The sequence below is a fragment of the Homo sapiens genome, chromosome 18 (genome assembly GCF_000001405.40).
Source record: "Homo sapiens chromosome 18, GRCh38.p14 Primary Assembly".
In the NCBI taxonomy this organism is placed as follows: Eukaryota; Metazoa; Chordata; class Mammalia; order Primates; family Hominidae; genus Homo; species Homo sapiens.
Window position 1 is genome coordinate 47,352,166 of NC_000018.10, and position 22,425 is coordinate 47,374,590.

At 40.5% G+C, this 22,425-nt stretch overlaps 1 long non-coding RNA gene across 1 annotated transcript in view, besides 1 other annotated feature; it reads left to right on the plus strand.

Moving 5' to 3' along the window:
* The window catches only part of MIR4527HG (MIR4527 host gene), a 308,827-nt gene that overhangs the window by 66,442 nt on the left and 219,960 nt on the right, over window positions 1–22,425 (plus strand). The window lies entirely within an intron of this gene.
* Window positions 1,146–1,792: an enhancer, noted in NCBI's record as "H3K4me1 hESC enhancer chr18:44879682-44880328 (GRCh37/hg19 assembly coordinates)". NCBI's record gives its function as "activates a minimal SCP1, AML or CMV promoter by ChIP-STARR-seq in primed H9 embryonic stem cells {active_cell/tissue: H9 hESC(primed)}" and the evidence as "EXISTENCE:reporter gene assay evidence [ECO:0000049][PMID:30033119]".

A 22,425-nucleotide genomic window follows, 5' to 3' on the forward strand; every position in this document is an offset into this window, starting at 1 on the left:
CTTGACTCTTTATCCAATTTGCCAGTCTGTGTCTTTTAATTGGAGCATTTAGTCCATTTACATTTAAAGTTAATATTGTTATGTGTGAATTTGATCCTGTCCTTATGATGTTAGCTGGTTATTTTGCTCGTTAGTTGGTGCAGTTTCTTCCTAGTCTCGATGGTCTTTACATTTTGGCATGATTTTGCAGCAGCTGGTACCGGTTGTTCCTTTCCATGTTTAGTGCTTCCTTCAGGAGCTCTTTTAGGACAGGCCTGGTGGTGACAAAATCTCTCAGCATTTGCTTGTCTGTAAAGTATTTTATTTCTCCTTCACTTATGAAGCTTAGTTTGGCTGGATGTGAAATTCTGGGTTGAAAATTCTTTTCTTTAAGAATGTTGAATATTGGCCCCTACTCTCTTCTGGTTTGTAGGGTTTCTGCCGAGAGATCAGCTGTTAGTCTGATGGGCTTCCCTTTGAGGGTAACCCGACTTTTCTCTCTGTCTGCCCTTAACATTTTTTCCTTCATTTCAGCTTTGGTGAATCTGACCATTATGTGTCTTGGAGTTGCTCTTCTCGAGGAGTATCTTTGTGGCGTTTTCTGTATTTCCTGAATCTGAACGTTGGCCTGCGTTGCTAGATTGGGGAAGTTCTCCTGGATAATATCCTGCAGCGTGTTTTCCAACTTGGTTCCATTCTCCCCATCACTTTCAGGTACACCAATCAGACGTAGATTTGGTCTTTTCACATAGTCCCATATTTCTTGGAGGCTTTGGTCATTTCTTTTTATTCTTTTTTCTCTAAACTTCCCTTCTCGCTTCATTTCATTCATTTCATCTTCCATTGCTGATACACTTTCTTCCAGTTGATTGCATTGGCTCTTGAGGCTTCTGCATTCTTCACGTAGTTCTTGAGCCTTGGTTTTCAGCTCCATCAGCTCCTTTAAGCACTTCTCTGTATTGGTTATTCTAGTTATACATTCTTCTAAATTTTTTTCAAAGTTTTCAACTTCTTTGCCTTTGGTTTGAATGTCCTCCCGTAGCTCAGAATAATTCGATCTTCTGAAGCCGCCTTCTCTCAGCTCATCAAAGTCATTCTCCATCTAGCTTTGTTCCATTGCTGGTGAGGAACTGCATTCCTTTGGAGGAGGAGAGGCGCTCTGCTTTTTAGAGTTTCCAGTTTTTCTGTTCTGTTTTTTCCCCATCTTTGTGGTTTTATCTACTTTTGGTCTTTGATGATGGTGATGTACAGATGGGTTTTTGGTGTGGATGTCCTTTCTGTTTGTTAGTTTTCCTTCTAACAGACAGGACCCTCAGCTGCAGGTCTGTTGCAATACCCTGCCGTGTGAGGTGTCAGTGTGCCCCTGCTGGAGGGTGCCTCCCAGTTAGGCTGCTTGGGGGTCAGAGGTCAGGGACCCACTTGAGGAGGCAGTCTGCCCATTCTCAGATCTCCAGCTGTGTGCTGGGAGAACCACTGCTCTCTTCAAAGCTGTCAGACAGGGACATTTAAGTCTGCAGAAGTTACTGCTGTCTTTTTGTTTATCTGTGCCCTGCCCCCAGAGGTGGAGCCTACAGAGGCAGGCAGGCCTCCTGGAGCTGTGGTGGGCTCCACCCAGTTCGAGCTTCCTGGCTGCTTCGTTTACCTAATCAAGCCTAGGCAATGGCGGGCGCCCCTCCCCCAGCCTCGCTGCCGCCTTGCAGTTTGATCTCAGAGTGCTGTGCTAGCAATCAGCGAGACTCCGTGGGCGTAGGACACTCCGAGCCAGGTGCGGGATATTATCTTGTGGTGTGCCGTTTTTTAAGCCGGTCGGAAAAGTGCAGTATTCAGGTGGGAGTGACCCGATTTTCCAGGTGCTGTCCGTCACCCCTTTCTTTGACTCGGAAAGGGAACTCCCTGACCCCTTGCGCTTCCCGAGTGAGGCAGTGCCTCGCCCTGCTTCGGCTCGCGCACGGTGCGCGCACCCACTGGCCTGCGCCAACTGTCTGGCACTCCCTAGTGAGATGAACCCGGTACCTCAGATGGAAATGCAGAAATCACCCGTCTTCTGCGTCGTTCATGCTGGGAGCTGTAGACCGGAGCTGTTCCTATTCGGCCATCTTGGCTCCTTGATCTTCTTCTGTCATTCTTAGCATGTGGCCTTTGTCCTCATACTCCCATGATGGCTGCTCTGCCTCCAGAGACCAGGTCCAAGTTCCAGGCAGCGACTTTTGCAAATGGCAAAAGGCATGGTGTTTTGGCAGAGTCTTTACCTTTTATCAGGAAAACAATGGGTTCCTGAATGCCCTCCCACTAGACTTCTGCTTGCAATTCATTGGCCTGAAGTGAGTCACAGGTCACCCTTAGCTGTGAGGAGGTCTGAAGAGTAGCCCTGAATAAAACCAGGTTCTTCTGGTCAGAAAGCTCGGGATGCATATTAGTAGATAATATGCATCATCTCCCACAAATATTTTAAAGCAAAAAATGATTATTTAGATATAAACAAATAGAGGTTCTAATTTGGAAATCTCTTTATATAGTTTATATGCTCATTCATGCATTCATTTATCCATCCTGCAAATAGTCACAGAACGTTCACTATGTGGGGGTGCTGGTTGTGCACTAGGAATACAAAGGGGGACAAAACAGACTAAACCTCTGTCCTCACATACACATGCAGGTAGTCAGATCCACTGGGCAGCAAGGCAAGAGAGAACCAGGCAGGCAGCAAGAACAGAACATGCAAAAGGGAGTGGGAGAGTCTGAGGAAATGAAAAGGAGACCTGTGGGGCAGGAGCCAGGTAATTGAGGGGTAAGTGAAGCTGTAAGTGTCTTAGGAAGGAGAGCAGCTGGTCTGATAGCTCCAGGTTGGTGAAACCAGGCCCTGGGCACACACTGTGGGCATCAGCAGAGGGTGGGGTCTAGACTACCAATCTGGACCAATGTCAAACATTTAAATCTTGCCCCAGATATGAGGCCTGAAATGTCATGTCCCTTCCTTTGCCCATTGAGAGCTGGGAGGACTTGCAAGATTTGGACCAGAGATCTCATTTTACAGGTCAGTAAACTAAGGCCCACAGAGCCCAAGTGACTTGCTGATGGCTGTCTTGCCAGTTAATGCCAACATTTGGACCAAACCTGCAGTCTTCTGACTCCTAGACTTTTCCCTTTCAGAAACATTGTATGTTTGTAAATACTTAATTTTCTCTTGTCTGATTTGCGCCTGATAGCATTTCAATGAAATAGATCCAGTGAGGTTATTTACCCCAGTTTCACATGTGGGGAGACTGAAGTTGAGAAGGATAAAGGGTTATGGTGGTCTTTGATTCTCTGGCCCAGATCCCCTTCAGCTGGGGAGGTTGCCATTCCAACTGATGTGGTTGGAGACACTTTGGCTCACATTGGCTGTCTCCTCCGAGGTGAGATGTGGCTCGAATGCCACTGCTCTGGGCCACCTCCTCATGTGGGCCTGTACGAGTGAGAAGGGGAGGTTTTTGCTGCATGATAATGAAAATGTGACATTCTCACCTGAGTCTTGAGCACTAGGAAAACAGGGGGCTGCTGTGCTCCGAGTGTCCTAATTGCTTCTGACACTCTTTATCATTTGTGATGATCTGGCCATGCTTGGCCACCTCAGGTGAGGGGTGGCCCTGAGAGTGGGGAGAAACCATTAGGGAGCTGACAGGGCACAGAGCCATGGGAGGTGATGGACTGGCTGCCAGATGCCCTCGATGCAGACATCCATCCTATCGATTGACCTTTTGGGGAGAGAAATCGGTGCCCTGGTTGTTGCCGGGCTGGTGAGGCTGGGCTGTGATGAGAATGGTTTCTAATCAAGACAGATTCCATTCAGGGTTCAGCTCCCCTGCTCTATCTTGAGGCCGATGAGGACACTGTGAGAGGGCCATTTTCACAGGGTGGTTGTGCAGCGATGTGCCCCATGGCCTAGTGGGCTTGGCCTGCGAGGGGCCCTTGGGCCAACAGGTCCAGTCTGGGGAGCTCCTCCTCCTTTCCCTTTCCCAACCTGCTCCCCGCAGCTGCTACTCTTATATATTCTCATACTGCTCCCTCGCTCCTCGGTGAGCTCTGGGTCTCCAGGTCTGACCACCCAGGCCAGTGTTGCTGCTTCAAAACCCTTCCTGTTTTTTTTTTTTCCAGCAAAGAGTTTTGCTCTCAGCTCTGCAGGGGTCATGCCAAACTCACCCCTGCCAAGCTACTAACACCAGTAGTCACTTTCTCAGAGCCACCGGCCTCTTTGGAGGAGGCAGTCATGTGGTAAACTATGGTTTTATAAATTGGACTCTATGGGAATTTTAAAGTCTTAGTGCCTTTGGTTGGATAAAAATCTAAAAATATTAACATAAATGAATTATCAATCTGTGAGGGATTTCTTTAACACCAAGAAAGGCCTCACAATTTCAGGACCACATATGCTTTCGAGCTGACAATAGTATTAACACAAAGTAGTTCTATTTTAATGAAGAAAAAGCTGGAGGATACTCAAAGGTATGAATGTCAAACGAAGACATTTGGGACACTTGGACTCAGGATAGCAGGAGATATTTGGGGTCTTTGCAGCTGCTCAAGTGATCCTGTAAGAGTGGTGTGACTGAACATGGGTATGAATACCTCCTAAGCAGTTGCAGCCTTGTTATGGCTCATGGATACAGAAAAAGAAGCCCCCACTCCTACTTCCCACTTCCAGTCCTCTGGTCAGGGAAGGGCCGCATTCTGCCATTGAGAATGGTTGAGCACAGAAACTTCAAAGAAGGTTGTTTCCAAAGCAGAGAAAATACTGATGTCCCAGCTTCCAACTGTGGAGATGGGACAGGGAGATATTTCCTACCCTTCACGGTCTTTGGATATTGAAGATATCTCCCTGTTTGAAATACTAAGTGGAGTCATGGTGAGAAAAACTTGATCAAGCTGTCTTAGTCCATTAGGACAGCTTTAATAGAATACCATAGACTGGGTGGCTTAAACAACAAACATTTACTTCTCACTGTTCTGGAGGCTGGGAAGTCCAAGATCAAGGCACTGGCAGATCCAGTGTCTGATGAAGACTCTCTGCCTGGTGTGCAGATGGCTGCCTTCTTGCTGTATCCTCACATGGCCAAGAGAGAGAAATCATACCTCTCATGTCTCTTCTTGTAAGAGCGCTGATTGCATTAATAAAGGCTCTACCCTCATGATATAATTACCTTCCAAAGTCCTCACCTCCCAATATAATCACATTGGGGATTAAACTTCAATATATAAATTTTGAGTGGAAACAAATATTCAGACTATAGCACAAACCCACTGTAAAGGAGTACTGTGAGAGTAACATGGATGGCTTACATTTACTGAATGGTTAAGGCAGGCAAGTGACTGAATACTTTCAGGTAATTCTCTCATTTAATCTTTACAAACCCACCAAGTAGGCACTATTTATTACTTCCATTTTGCAGAAGAGAAAACTGAGATATGAAGAAGTTTAGCAATGTGCCTTAGTTCACACAGCTAGGAGGAGACAGACTCTTTCTTCTAACTCTACTACACTGTTCTGAACAGGAAGACTGTTCTGGGCTCTGGTCAGGGCTCTGGTCTGAGCTTCACCTATTCTGTGAATTTGGGCAGGTCCCTTTACATCTCATATCTTCAGATCCCTCATCTGCACAAGATAAGGTTAATCGTATGTTCTATCAATGGGTCAACTCTATTAACAAACAGGAAATGAAGGTATGAAGTCCTCTTCAGCTGGCCTGGGGAAAATCACTTGATATTTCTCTCTTAGCTGCTTCAAGTCCCATTTCTTTTAGTCCTGCTGTATGGGGTGGCTGGGGACTCCTGAGACCCACATGGTATTGGGGGATCCTTGAAAGGCTGAATTCTTGGTCCAGTTCTATAAATATGCATTTAGGGAGCTTTAATAACACATATTATTGACCAGGTAGGCCTGTAGAGCTATTTGTGTGTAAATCCATATTTAGTACACTATTGATCCATATCAGGTGGCCAAAACCATATTAATTTGAATTGAAGATTAAAAACATTTTGTAAAAGTTGTTGGCGAGTAAAATGAGTTGATGTTCAATTTCTAGCAGCCTAATGTGCTTTGCTTTCCTTTAGATGTCTCCTTTCAGCTGGCTTAGCCACTTTCTTTTCCAACTGGTCTCTCATTCCCTCTCTTCCAGGGTGGCTACCTGTCGTGGATACTGTGGTGGGCTTTGCTCTCAGTACTGAAGCACTTGCTTCCCCAATGGCTGGGAGTGTTGCTGACTGTGGTTCTCAGTTGAGTTCCTCTTCAGAATTTGCCATTTTTGTATAATTGACAAATAAAAATTGTATATGTTTATGGTGTACAACATGATGCTTTGATATATGTATACATTGTGAACTACCTAAACCAAGCAAATTTACATATCCATCATCTCACATGCTTATCATTTTTTTATGGGAGAACATTTGAGATCTACTTTCTTGGCAGTTTTCAAGAATATAATACATTGTTATTAACTACAGCAGCCATGCTGTGTAATAGATCTCCAAAACTTATTTACCCTATTTGAAATTTCTTACTATTTGACCAACATCACCCCTTTTCCTCCGCACTCCACCCCACACTCCCAGTCCCTAGTAACCACCATTCTATTCTCTGCTTCCATGAAGCAGAGATTCTGGAGTTTCTAAGATTCTGCATATAAATGAGATCATGCAGTATTTGTCTTTCTGTGCCTGGCTTGCTTCATTAGCATAATGTTGTCCAGGTTCATTCATGTTGCAAATAACAGAATTTATTTCTTTTAAAAGGCTGAGTATTTCATTACACACACACACACACACACACACACACACACACACACACACCACATTTTCTTTATTCATTAATCCATCAGTGGGTTGGATGATTTCATATCTTAGCTATTGTGAATAATGCTGTAATGAACACAGGAGTGCAGAATATCTCCTTGACAGACTAATTTCATTTCCTTTGGCTATATACCCAGTAGTGGGTTTGCTGGATCATATGGTAGTTTTATTTTTAGTTTTTTGAGGAACTTCCATACTCTTTTCCCTAATGATGGTACTAATGTACATTCCCACATTCAATGTACAAGTGTTCTTTTTTCTTCACATCCTCACCAACACTTGTTACTTTTGTCTTTTTAAAATTTTATTTATTTTTATTATTTTTTTTGAGACAGAGTCTTGTTCTGTGGCCCAGGCTGGAGTGCAGTGGCGTGATCTTGGCTCACTGCAACTTCTGCCTCCCAGGTTCAAACGATTCTCCTGCCTCAGCCTCCCAAGTAGCTGGGATTACAGGTGTGCCAACAAACCTGGCTAATTTTTGTATTTTTAGTAAAGGTGGGGTTTTGCCAGTTAGCCAGGCTTGTCTCAAACTCCTGGCCTCAAGTGATCCACCTGCCTCAGCCTTTCAAAGTGCTAGGATTACAGTCACAAGCCACCATGCCTAGCCTTGTCTTTTTTATAGTAGCCATTCCTGAGTAGCTGGGATTACAGGTGCACCCAGCTAATTTTTGTATTTTTAGTAAAGTTGAGGTTTTGCCAGTTAGCCAGGCTTGTCTCAAACTCCTGGCCTCAAGTGATCCACCTGCCTCAGCCTTCCAAAGTGCTGGGATTACAGTCATGAACCACCATGCCTGGCCTTGTCTTTTTCATAGTAGCCATTCTAACAGGTGTGAGGTAATATCTCATTTTGTGGTTTTAGTTTGAATTTTTCTAATTCACATGATGAGCACTTTTTCATGTACCTCTTGGCCATTTGTTTATCTTCTTTTGAGAAATGTCTATTCAGGGTCTTTGCTCATTAAAAATTATTTACAAACGTTTTTATTGATACATATTTGTACATGTTTATGAGGCACAAATGATATTTTGTTCATGCTTAGAAGGTGTAATGATCAAGTCAGGGTTTTTGGGATATCCATCACCTCGAGTAGTCATTTCTATGTGTTGAAAACATTTCAAATCCTTTCTTCTAGCTGTTTTGAAATATGCAATGCATTATTGTTAACTAGTCACCTACTCTGTTATTGAACATTAGAAATTAGTTCTTCTATCTAACTGTACGTTTGTACCCATTAACCAACCTCTCTTCATCCCCCCATTTCCCAGAACCCTTCCCAGCCTCTTATAACTACCATTCTACTCTCTGCCTCCATAAGATCAACTTTTTTGCCATGAGTGGGAACACTTTGCCAATGTTTTATTTGGGTTATTTGTTTTCTTGCTATTGAGTTGTTTGAGTTTTCAAAAAAATATTTTGGGTATTAACCCCTTATCAGATATATGGTTTGCAAATATTTTCTATTTTGTAGATTGTCTCTTCAATCTGTTGATTATTTCCTTTGCTCTGTAGAGTTTTTTAGTTCAATGTAATCCCATTTGTCTATTTTTCCTTTTGTAGCCTGTGCATTTCGGGCCATATCAAAAAAGTCATTGCCAAAACCAGTGTCAAGAAGATTTTCCCAGCTGAGCACAGTGGCTCATGCCTGTAATCCCAGCACTTTGGGAGGCCAAGGTGGGTAGATCACCTGAGGTCAGGAGTTCTAGATCAGCCTGGCCAACATGGTGAAACCCCATGTCTACTAAAAGTACAAAAATTAACTGGGTGTGGTGACACGCACCTGTAATCCCAGCTACTTGGGAGGCTGAGTCAGGAGAATCACTTGAACCTGGGAGGCGGAGGTTGCAGTGAGCCAAGATTGTGCCACTGCACTCCAGCCTGGGCAACAAGAGTGAAACTCCATCTCAAAAAAAAAAAAAAAAAAAAAAAAGATTTTCACCCTATGTTTTCTTCTAGTAGTTTTATACTTTCAGGTGTTACATTTAAGACTTTAATCCCTTTTGTGTTGATTTTTGAATGTAGTGTGAGATAAAAATCCAATTTTATTCCTTTACATGTGGATAGCTAGTTTTCCCAATATTTGTTGAAGAGACTGTCCTTTCCTCATTTGTGTTCTTGGCATCTTTGTAGAAGAACAGTTGGCCATAAATGGATGGATTTATTTCTGGGCTCTCTATTCTGTACCATTGGTCTATATATCGTTTTTATGCCAGTACCATGCTGTTTTGATACTATAGCTTTGTAGTAGATTTTCAAATCGGGTTGTGTGATGCCTCCAATTGTGTTCTTTTTTCTTAAGACTGCTTTGCCTAATCAGGGACTTCTGTGGTTTCACAGGAATTTTAGGATTGTTTTTTCTATTTCTTTGAAAAATGTCATTGGAATTTTGATAGGGGTTGCATTGAATCTGTAGATCACTTTGGGTAGTACAAACATTTTAACAATATTTCTTCCTATCCATGAACATGACATGGGCTATCTTTCCATTTATTTGTGTCTTCCTCAATTTCTTTTCCTTTTTTTTTTTTTTTTTTTTTTTTTTGAGACAGAGTCTTACTCACTCTGTTGCCCAGGCTGGAGTACAGTGGTATGATTTTGGCTCACTGCAACCTCCACCTTTCAGCTCACTGCAACTTCTGCCTTTCGGGTTCAAGAGATTCTCCTGCCTTAGCCTCCCAAGTAGCTGGGATTACAGGTGCCTGCTACCATGCCTGGCTAATTTTTGTATTTTTAGTAGAGACAGGGTTTCACCATGTTGGCCTTGCTGGTCTCAAATTCCTGACCTCAAGTGAACCACCTCCCTCGGCCTCCCAAAGTGCTGGGATTACAGGTGCGAGCCACTGTGCCCAGCCCCTCAATTTCTTTTGTCATTATTTTATTGTTTTCTGTGTTCAGATCTTTCATCTCTTTGGTTAGATTTATTCCTAAGTGTTTTTTTTCTTTTGATTCTATTGTAAATGGGATTTTTTCTTTGCTTAATGTCTGCATTTCCTCTTTTCCGTTTTAGTGGACACGTAATTGTACATATTTATGGGATACAGAGTGCTAATTTGATATGTGTATATAATATGTAATGATCAAATTAGAGTAATTAGTACATCCATCACCTGGAGCATTTATCTCTTCTTTGTGTTGTGAACTTTCAAAATCCTCACTTCTTGCTTTTTAAAAATATACACTGAATTATTGTTAACCATAATCATCCTACAGTGCTACAAAACACTAGAACTTCTTTCTCCCATTAGCTGTATCTATTAACCAACCTCTCCCTAGCCTCCTCTGCCCCTCTAATGATCTGGGCTCTAATGACCACAATTTTACTCTCTACTTTTATAATCTGAATTTTTTTATATAGCTCCCACATATGAGTGAGAACACATGGTATTTTTGTGTCTGATTTATTTCCCTTAACAGACTGTCCTTCAGGCTCATCCGTGTTGCTGTGAATGACAGGATTTCATTCGTTATGGTTGAATAGTATTCCATTGTGTTTATATAACACATTTTCTGCATCCATTCATCTACTGATGGACACTTAGGTTGATTCCATATCTTGGCTATTGTGACTAGAGCTGCTATTAACAGGAATGCAGAAATCTCTTAGATATACTGATTTCCTTTCCTTTGGATAAATAGTAGTGAGATTACTGGATCATGTGGTCATTCCATTTTTAGTTTCTGTGAGAAACCTCCATATTGTTTTTCATAAGGTACTAATTTACATTCCCATCAGCAGTGTATAAGACTTCTCTTTTCTCCCTATCCTCACCAGCATTTTTTTTTGTCTTTTTGATGACAGCCATTTTAACTAGAGTAAGATGATATTTCTTCTTGCTTTAGATTTGCATTTCGCTGATAATTAGTGACGTTGAGCATTTTTTCATATATTTACTGGCTATTTGTATGTCTTCTTTTGAGAACTGTCTATTCAGGTCCTTTGCCCTTTTTTAAATCAGAGTATTTGTTTTTTATCTGTTGAGTTGTTTCCGTTCCTTGTATATTTGGATATTAGTTCCTTGTTGGATAAATACTCTGCAAACATTTTCTCCCATTCCACACATTGTCTCTTCACTTTGTTGATTTTTTTGTTGTTGTTGTTGGCTGCAGAAGTTTTTTAGGTTTATATAGTTCAATTTGTCAATTTTTGGTTTTGTTGTCTGTGCTTTTGAAATTTTACTCATAAAATATTTGCCTAGACCAATGTCCTGAAGTGTTTCCCCCATGTTTTCTTCTAGTAGGTTTATAGTTTATGTTTTCTTGTTTAAGCTTTTAATCCATTTTGAATTGATTTTTGTATTTGGTGAGAGATAGATAGGTGTCTAGTTTCATTCTTCTAAATATGGATATCCAGTAGTACCAGAACCATTTATTAAAAAGGGTGTCTTTTACCCAATGTATGTTCTTGGCATTTTTACTTAAAATCAGTTGGCTGTAAATATGTGATTTATTTCTGGGCTCTGTCTTCTGTTTCATTGGTCTATATGTCTGATTTTATACCAACACCATGCTGTTTTGGTTATTACAGAATTGTGCTATATTTTGAAGTCAGGTAGCATGATGCTTTCAGCTTCATTCTTTTTGCTCAGGATTACTTTGACTATTCAGGGTCTTTTGTGGTTCCATATGAATTTTAAGATTATTTTTTACTGTTTCTGTGAAGAATATCATTGGTATTTTGATAGGGATTGTATTAAATCTGTAGATTGCTTTGAGTAGTAGGGTCATTTTAATAATATTAATTCTTGCAGTCCATGAGCATGAGAAATGTTCCCATTTTTTGGTGTCCTCTTTAATTTCTTTCATCAGTGTGTTGTTTTCCTTATAGAAGTCTTTCATGTCCTTGGTTAAATTTATTCCTAGGTATCTTTTTAAATAGCTATTGTAAATGGAATTGCTTATTTATTTATTTAGTGGCTGGTTCATTATTGGTGTATAGAAATGCTACTGATTTTTGTATGTTGATTTTGTATCCTGCAAAATCAGTTTATTTATCAGTTTATTTATCAGTTCTAAGAGTATTTTGATAAACTTTTTTTTTTTTTTGAGATGGAGTTTCATTCTTGTTGCCCAGGCTGGAGTGCAATGGTGCAGTCTCGGCTCATGCAGCCTCCATCTGCTGGGTTCAAGTGACCCTCCTGCCTCAGCCTCCCAAGTAGCTTGGGATTGCCGGTGCCCACCACCACGCCCAGCTAATTTTTGTACTTTAAGTTGAGATAGAATTTCACTGTGATGTTGACCAGACTGGTCTCGAACTCCTAACCTCAGGTGATCCACCTGCCTTATCCTCCCAAAGTGCTGTGATTACAGGCATGAGCCACTGTGCCCAGCCATATTTTGGTAAAGTTTTTAGGTTTTTCTATATATTTCTTTCATATTGTCTGCAATGAGGGACAATTTGAATTCTTCCTTTCCAATTTAGAGGCCCTTTATTTCTTTCTCTTGACTAATTACTCTGACTATGACCTCCAGAACTATGTTGAATAAGAGTGGTGAAAGTGGGCATTCTTATCTTGTTCCAGTTCTTAAAGGAAAGTTTATAGGCTTCCCCATCCTGTGTGATGTTAGCTGTGGAATTATCTTATATGATTTTTCTTGTGTCATGGTGTCTTCTTTCTATACCTAAGAAAGGAGAGAGTTTGTTGAGAGTTTTTTATCGTAAAAGGATGTTGAATATTATAATTTTCATGCATGTATTGAGATGATATAATTTTTGTCCTTCATGCTGTTCATTTGATGTATCACATTTAGTGATTTGCTATGTTGAGCCATCCTTTCATTCCCAGAATAAATCCCACTTGATTATGGTGTATTATTTTTTGATGTATTATTGGATTCAGTTTGCTAGTATTTTGTTGAGAATATTTGCATCTAAGTTCATCAGGGATATAGGCTTATATTTTTCTTTTTAAATTACGTCCTTGTCTGGTTTTGATATCAGGGTAATGGTGGTCTTATAGAATGAGTTAGGAAAAATTCCCTACCGTTCAATGTTTTGGGATAGTTGGAGAAAACTTGGTTTAGTTCTTCTTTATAAGTTTGGTAGAATTCCGTGGTACAGCCATCTGGTCATGGGCTTTTTTTTGTTGTTGGGAGACTTTTCATTACTGATTCAATCTCCTTACTCATTACTCATCTGTTCAGATTTTCTGTTTCTTCCTGATTCAATCTTGGTAGGAAGACTGAATCAGGAAAATTTTGGAATTTATCCATTTCCTCTAGATTTTCTATTGGTTGGCGCATAGTTGGTCAGAATAGTCACCAATGATCCTTTATATTTCCGTGGTATCAGTTGTAATCTCTTTTTTTGTTTCTTTCTGATTTTATTTGAATCTTTTTTCTTAATCTAGCTAGTAGTTTGCCAATTTTGTTTACATTATTTAAAAAAATTTTCATTTCATTGATCTTTTGTATTGTTTTCTTAGTCTCTCTCTCTTTTTTTTGGGGGGGACAGAATTTCTCTCTGTTGCCCAGGCTGGAGTGCAGTGGTATGATCTTGGTTCACTGCAACCTTCACCTCCTGGGTTCAAGTGGTTCTCATGTCTCAGCTTCCTGAGTAACTGGGATTACAGGTGCACACCACCATGCCCAGCTAATTTTTGTATTTTTAGTAGAGATGGGGTTTCATCAGTGTTGGCCAGGCTGAAATCCTGGGCTCAAGCAATCTGCCTGCCTCAGCCTCCCAAACTGCTGAGATTACAGATTTGAGCTACCATGCTCAGCCTTAGTCTCTATTTTGTTTAATTGTTCTGATTTTTATTATTTCTTTCTACTAATTTTGGGTTTTATTTGTTCTTGCTTTTCTCCTTGAGGTGTATTGTTAGGTTTTTTTATTTGCCATCTTTCTACGTTTTTGATGTAGGTATTTATTACTATAAACTTCTCTGTTAGTACTGCTTTTGCTGTATCCTATAGGTTTTGATATGTTGTGCTTTGATTTTCGTTTGTTTCAGGAAATTGTTGATTTTCTTTCTAATTTTTTTTGACTCAATTCAGGAGCCTGCTGTTTAATTTCCATGTATCTTGTACCGTTTCCAGAGTTCCTCTCATTATTGTTTTCTAATTTTATTCCACTGTGGTCTGAGAAGATACTTAATATGATTTTGATTTTTAATTATTTGTTCGGATTTGTTTTGTGGCCTAACATATGGTTTGTCCTGGAGAATGTTCCATGTACTGATGAGAAGAATGTGTGTGCTACAGCTGTTGGATGGAATGGTCTGTAAATGTCTGTTAGGTCCATTTGGTTTATAGTGTAGCTTAAGTCAGATGTTTCTTTGTTGATTTTCTGTGTAGATGATCTGTCCAATGCTTAAAGCGGGGTGTTGAAGTTTCCACCTATCATTGTATTGTGGTTTATCTCTTTTTAGCTCTGATAAATTTACATTATATATATGTGTGCTCTGGTGTTGTGTGCATATATATTTATAATTGTTAAATTTTTTTGCTGAGTTGACCCTTATAATGACCTTGTCTTTTTATGTTTTTTGACTTAAAGTCCATTTTGTCTGATATAAATATAGTTACTCCTGCATGCTTTTGGTTTCTGTCTGTATGGAATATTTTTTTCCATTCTTTCAGCCTTTACATGTGAAGTGAGTTTCTTGTAGGCAGCATATAACTGGGTATTGTTTGTTTATCATTTCAACCAGTGTATATTCTTTAATTGGGGAATGTAAACTATTTACATTCAAGGTTTACTGATAGGTGGGGACTTATTCTTGTCATTTTGTTAACTGGTTGCTGATTGTTTTCTATATTTTTTGTTCCTTTCTTCCTTTCTTTCATTTATCTTTGGTGGTTTTCTGTAGTGATAATACTTGATTCTTTTTTCTTTCTCATTTGTGTATCTGCTTTGTCAGTGAGCTTTATACTTTTTTGAGTTTTCATGATGGTAGATATCATCCATTTGCTTCCAGATATAGTAGGATTCCCTTAAGCATTTCTTTCTTTCTTTCTCTTTTTTTTTTTTTTTTTTTTTTTTTTTTTGAGATGGAGTTTTGCTCTTATTGCCCAGGCTGGAGTGCAATGGCACAATCTCGGCTCACTGCAACCTCTGCCTCTCAGGTTCAAGTGATTCTCCTGCCTCAGCCTCCTGAGTAGCTGGGATTACAGGCATGCACCACCATGCCTGGCTAATTTTGTACTTTTAGTTAGAGACGGGGTTTCTCCATGTTGGTCAGTCTGGTCTCAAGTTCCCGACCTCAGGTGATCCACCTGCCTCGGCCTCCCAAAGTGCTGGGATTACAGGCATGAGCCACTGCGCCTGGCCAAGCATTTCTTATAGGGCTGGTCTGGAAGTGATGAATTCCCTCAGTTTTTGTATGTCTGGGAAATATTTTATTTATCCTTCATTTCTGAAGAATAGCTTTGCTGAGTATAGTGTTCTTGTTAGGCAGGCTTTTTTTTTTTTTTCTTATAAGGCCATGTGCACTGATCCTTGGGCCCCTGGTGGGGGGCAGCATGGGTGCTGGCAGCAGTGGCAGTGGGCTGAACAGGCTGGTTTTTGGACCCCCAGGTGGTGGCACACATGGACACTGGTGGTGGTGGCAATAAGACTTGGGTGGGCCAATTTTTTTTTTTTTTTTTGAGACAGAGTCTTGCTCTGTCACCAGGCTGGAGTGCAATGGCGTGATCTCGGCTCACTGCAGCCTCCTCCTCCTGGGTTCAAGAAATTCTGTTGCCTCAGCCTCCTGAGTAGCTGGGACTACAGATGCATGTCACCATACCTGGCTAATTTTTTTGTATTTTTAGTAGAGATGGGGTTTCACCATGTTGGCCAGGATGGTCTTGATCTCCTGACCTCATGATCTGCCTACCTCAGCCTCCCAAAGTTCTGGGATTACAGACGTGAGCCACTGTGCCGCATAACTTTTATTTAACAAAATGAAATAACTATTTAACTATGTCTCCTACCCTTTATATAGTAAATAAGTACAGTTGACCCTTGAACAACAAGAGGGTTAGGGGTTATCCCCCACATAGTCCAAAATCCACACAATTTTTAACTTCCCAAAAACTTAATTATTAATAGCATACTGTTCATTGGAAGCCTTTCTGATAACATAAACAGTTGATTAACACGTATTTTGTATTTTACATGTATTATATACTGTATTCTTATAATAAAGTAAGCTAGAGAAAGAAAATGCTGTTAAGAAAATCATAAGGAAGAGAAAATATATTTGCTATTCACTAAGTGGAAGTAGATCATCATAAAGGTCTTAATTCTCATGATCTTTGCCCTGAGTAGGCTGAGGAGGAGGAGGAAGAGGAAGAGGAAGGGTTGGTCTTACTGTCTCACAAATGGCAGAGATGGAGGAGGTAGAAGGGGAGGCAGGCACATTCAGTGTAACTTTAGGGAAATACATCATAATTTCTGCCTGACTTCTTTGCATTTTCATTTCTCTAAAAATGTTTCTTTGAAGTACCAATCCTTCTTCCACTGTTTGCTCTAGTTTCAGTGCCTGTATCATAGAAGGGTCTATGTCATAAAAGAAGTCAAAAGCAGTCTTGAATAGTTAGGCCTTTGTGCCAGATTGTCTAATGTTAATTTGTTTTCTAGTACTGTTTCTTCCACATCTTCTTCCTCATCATCTAACATTGGTTTAGAAGCACTCCTCTCTATCAAGTTGTCTTCTCCTAATTTCTCCGATGTGGCATCTGTTAACTCTTCAATTTCTCTAAGATTTATATCCTGAAACTGTTCATTTCCCCATCTTTTTTTTCTCTATATCCACAATCTCTTTCATGATTTCTTTGATTGGCACTGTTATAAATCCTGTGAAGTCAGGGGCACAGTTTTCTCCAGCAGGAATTTATTGTTCTGGACAATGCCCCAGCCACCCAGAACCCCATGAGATTCATGGCTTTTTCTATAACCTCATGGGTTTCATGGCATTTTCAGTGGTGTAATCCTCCCAGACTTTCATGATGTTCTCTCTATTGGGATTCTCTTCCATAGCATTGACGATCCGTTCCATAGAGTGCCATAGGTAATGAGCTGCCTTAATGGTCTTTATGACCCCCTGATTTAGAGGCTGACTTAGAGACATTGTGTTTGGGAGCTAGTAGACAACTTCAATGCCCTTGGTATTGAACTCATGCAGTTCTAGGTGGCCAGGGGCATTGTCCAACATCAAAAGAATTTTAGAAGGCAGTCCCTTACTAGCAAAGTACTTCCAGACTTCAGGAACAAAACATTGATGGAACCAATATAAAAAAAAAAGGGTCACGATTGTCCAGACCTTCTTGTTGTACAACCGAAGACTGGCAACTGGTGTTTATCTTTTCTTTTCAAGGCTCAGGCGTTAGCAGCTTTAACAGGGCAGTCCTAATCAGAAACTCAACTGCATTTGCGTAAAACAGTAGAGTTAGCCTATCTCTCCTGCTTTAAATCCTGGTACTCAATTCTCTTCCTTATTAATAAATGTCCTTTGTGGCATTTTTTTTCCCAGAATAGGGCACTTTCAACTGTGTTAAAAACCTGTTCAGGCAGATATCCTTTCTCCTCAATGATTTTCTTAATGGCATTTGGGAACTTGTCTTTTGCCTCCTGGTTGACAAATGCTGCTTCTTCTGTTATCTTGACATTTTTTAAGCAAAACCTCTTTCTAAAATAAACAAACTATTCTTTTCTGGCATGAAATTCTCCATTCTCCAGCTTTAGATTTTTCACTTTCTTTTTGCTTTGTCATATAATGACTTTGCTCTTTCTTGAATCATATTTGAGTCTATAGGGATGCCTGTCTTATAGCAATCCTGTACTCACATAAAAGCTACATTTTCAATACAAGATAATGAGATATTATGCAAAAAGTGCAAGGTTTTCACACTTGCTGGTGTAGCTGTAGTGATGGCTTCACAAATTTCCTTTCCTTTTTTTTTTCTTTTCTTTCTTTCTTTCTTTCTTTTTTTTTTTTTTTTTTACAATGGTTCTTACCTGAATTCATTTATCTTGAAATGGTCGACACCTGCAGCAGCAGACCTCAATGTGTGGTACAGATCAAGCAATTCAACTTTTTCTTGTAATGTCATGACTTTGTTTCTTGGAACACTTCCAGCATCACTAGTGGCACTTTAGCATGGGTCCCATGGTATTATCCAAGGTTTACAGTATTGTACTAATCATAATGAAAAACATGTAAGAACTGTGAAAGAGCACTTTTTACTGTAATACACAACTTACTGGAGAGACAAACTGCTCACGTGGAGGTTTAGTGTCACACAGCATTTTAAGTAGATACTTGCAACACTTGAGCTCACTGAGATTGCAACAGGTGACCACAAAATTATTACAGTGGTACAGTATGTACTATGGTTTTATGCAGTTATGATTTAATATTAGATCTTAATGTTTGTTTACATTTCTCTTAACTGAGAATGGCACCCTGTACAGTCTATAAGTGTTTGTAAGTTTTGATAAATTTTAACTTTTTATAACAGATTCGTGTATATTATATAGGTGTAAATAATAAAATAGACTAGTATCTACATATATTATATGAATTCATGACACATCTGGCTTTTTCTTAATTTTTAAAAATATTTTTAGGCTACACATTTTACCTGTGAGTTTTTTCAAATTATCACAAATCTCCAAAATTTTTTTCAGTATATTCACTGGAAAAAATACACATATAGGTAGACCCACACAATTCAAACCCGTGTTGTTCAAGGGTCAACTGTATTTTCATTACACCTCTTAATTTTCATTTTGTTAGTTTCAGTTCTGTTTATATATTCTTGGTATCCCAATTATAAAATTTAATGTGTCTATCCATCCTGATCAGCAGGAGTCTAAATTTTCAGGGTGAAGGGGAGATTCTGTGACCTGACACTATATACACATCCCACATTCCAGGTGGTACAGACCTGGTAACACTCTTCCTGGGGCAGTTGTTCTCTGAGCTAAGGGATCAGTAGCACAGGGCCATCCAGGCCACACCCATCCAGGTTTACAAGGGCATTTCTCTAGAGACTTGTCAGGTACTCTACCCTATCATAGGAACAGGTGAGCCTAGCTGCTCAGGCTTAATTATCGTTGAGCCCATGAAAGATTCTTACAACTATAGCTTTGTCTCCTTAATGTGCATAACTCACTTTAAAGAGCACTTTCTGATCCCAGCACTTTGTGAGGCTGAAGAAGGTGAATTGCTTGACCCCAGGAGTTCAAGACCAGCCTGGGCAACATGGAAAACTGTGTCTCTACAAAAGGTACAAAAATTAGCTGGGTGTGGTGGTGCATGACTGTAGACCCAGCTACTTGGGAGGCTGAGGTGGGAGGATTAATTGAGCCTGGGAGGTCTAGGTTGCAGTGAGCCAAGATCACCCCACTGCACTCCAGCCTGGGTGACAGACAGACCTTGTCTCTATTAAAAAAAATACTTTAATTGTATATATTTTTAGATTTACAGAGAACTTGGAAAGGTAGTACAGAGAGGTCTCGTATATCTTGTGCCTGGATGTCCCTATTAACATCTTACATTATGATGGTTCATTTGCCACAGCTAAGAAACCAACATTGACACATTACCATTAATTAAACTCCACAGTTTTGATTTTGCAAGTTCTGTCCTAATGTCCTTTTTCTGTTCCAGAATCCCATCAAAGACATCATGTTACATTTCGTTGTTGCGTCTCCTTAGGCTCTCCTGGTCTGTGACATTTTCTCAGTTTCCTTTATTCTGATGACCTTGACAATTTTAAGGAGTACTGATCAGGGATTTTGTAGATTGACCCTCAATTTGAACTTGTCTGAGTTTATCTTGTGGTACTGGGATTATGGTTTTTTTGGTGAGGGAAAGACCACAGAGGTGAAATGCCATGCTCATTGCATCATGTCAAGGGCACATGCTGTCAACATGACTTATCACTGATGATGTTGACCTCAGTAACCTGGGTGAGGTAGTATTTTCTAGATTTTCTCAGCACAAGTCACTTTTAACCTACTCTAAAACTTTGCCAAGAAACAGCACAAAGGTTTCCTGGTTTGTGCTTTCCAGGATACATTCTTTCCCTGTGCCTGAAAAAGTGGGATGTTTGAGTTCAGTTTTCCAATTCCTGCCTCACTCACTATGTTCCCCGAATGCTTCCTCACTCACCATGATCCCTGAAAGACTTGATCCATCATTTTCCAATTATGTCTGCAAAACCTTTCAGAATTCAGGGATGCAGTCAATCTCAGGAAGGATATATCCTCATGTTTCATTTATTTATCTATTCAATGCATATTTAATATCATTTTTATTACAAGGTCTTACCTAGGTTCTGAAGGCAGATAAATTTATAAGCCATAACCTTTCTCCTGGTAGCCCAGCCATGTTAAAAAACAAAACAAAACAAAAAACACTGTAGTTCAGTGTACTGGTGTTTACTAGGGCAGTAAAGGGAAAGGTTGTCTAATGAACTCTGCCTGGGGTGGAGTTTGGGGGTCAAGAAACGGCTCAGAGTTGGTGGTGGTACATAGGGTGGTTTGTCTATAACCCTTTTCTAGCTTCCTTTGACCTTCAAGGACTTTCAAATTTTGTTTTTGGCTAGCTTTGCCTAAAACCCCAGTGCTAACTATATGTACACTGTGTAGACATCTGAGACCCAAAATGGGACAAGCTTTAGACTAAAGGGACATCGGATAACAGTCACACCATCATCCTTTGCATCAGGTTGGCCCCAGGAATGCCTCCCCATAAGAGGAGAAAGTTAACAAGGCAGGGAACTTCGACCCAGCCCCCAGGGCAATTCAGGTTCTCGGGTGGTGAGCATTACATACGGCCCACAGGCTATAAACCACCTTAACAGGCATAATGACTTTCATGCCTCCACCTGAAGGGGCTCATTGCAATAAGGTAACAGCTCTTGCAGATGCCTCTAACTTTAACTATGGGAACACTTGCTTTATAGCACCACCTGAATGATCTATATCCTGTTCTCGTCAATGGCAATTTCAGGAGTGATTTGGCTTATGTCTTTTGTGCATGTGTGTCTACTCAGCGCCCTGAAAACTTGTGGCATTGAGAACATGTGAAGAAGTGTGTGTCACAGCTGCAGAGCTGGAGATAGAGATGGGTCCTGAGCTAGCTGTCATTAAGAGATAACTCTCAGGAGTTCACACTAGTCAGAAGGACAGGACTAATCTCTATTCTGCATTTATTCACCAATTCATTCATTCATTCACAAACACTTCCTGAGTCCTCCATTTACAAGCACAATACTGCATCAGTACCATGGCTTCATGTCAGTCAGGTTTCCTTCTGAGATCTGTTGTCAAAGGAATACACTCAGGCAAGCTGTGTCTTTACTAGGCTGTGGGGCAAATTCTTTCACAGAATGATGAGTGGAGCTAATGAGACCCTGAATATATGGTGAGTTAAATGTTTGGGGACATTTCCTAAGCCAAAAGCCTATGCATCATTCTTCATTCTTCTGTCTCCCTTCCCTGGAGATGCCCTGGACAATTCTACATCCTAATATCTTTCTTGAAGCATTATTGTGTCCCCATCCTCACTCCTCTGCCTACAGTTCATTACCTCTTACCTGAATTACCACCTCTCACCTGCTCTCCCAGCAGCCATCCTTGTCTCCCTGCATCCGTTCCCCACACCACACACTGACGAGATTTCTAAAGTGAAAATCTGGTCACCCTTCCCTCCTGCTCTGTGGTTTCTTGTTGACCTTAGAATAAAGCCCCAAAGCTTTCACATTGCAATCTTACTCCTGCTTGTTTCTCTAGCCTCATCTCTCAGGTGTCTGCTCCCTCTTTAAGTGTATGCCCGTGCACACACACACCCTCCTCCACACCCCAACCTGACCACTTGACTGTCTCTGCTTAGCTTTTATTTCCTTGGCAGAGCCTTTGCTGACCTCCCCCATAGCCCTTACACTCTTGTATTGTAATGTAATTACTTGTCTTCCTTCCAGGACTGTGGGATCTGCCAGGGCACAGACTCTAGTTGTCCATTTCTTTATCCTCCCCATGTCCTGTCATGGTGCCTGGCCCATAGAAGTAACTCAGTAAGTTTGATGAAAAAAAGGAATGGAGACAAGAATGGAACTTCTGAGCATGAGTGAGGTTCTGTGTGCTGGTAGCAGGGAAGGATGGAGCTAGCATCTTTGTGCTCTGCAGGTCTTGGAGAAATGCCCAGCCAGGTCCCAGAGTAGTTCAGCATGGAGCCAGCTTCTGGACCAAGATCAGTAACAATTAAAACAACTAAGAAATTTTTGTATTTCTACTCTACCGTGTTTCAAAAAGGATTTATTCAAAAAAATACATAAAATTTTTAAAAATGATCAATAAGGGAGAAAATTTGGCTTCTGGATAAGATTATTACTCTAAATGAGGTTAATACCCCAAAAGAGGTGTGTACACTTGGGCAATGAATTGGCTCTGAGGTACCTGGCAGGCCATGCAGAGAAGGAAATGTGATGGGTTATAGGCTTTATGATGTCCATCAAATGAAAATAAGTCAACTGGGGAGGAGAAGACAAGGTTTCTTGGTACTGAGGCCAGAAAGAGACTTCTCCTGTGGATTCTTTTAAAGAAGAAGTCAGGTAACACGATGGATGATAATCTCAGCCATATCTTTTCAATAAAACAATGGGGACAAATCTTGGAATGGCTCTAAATG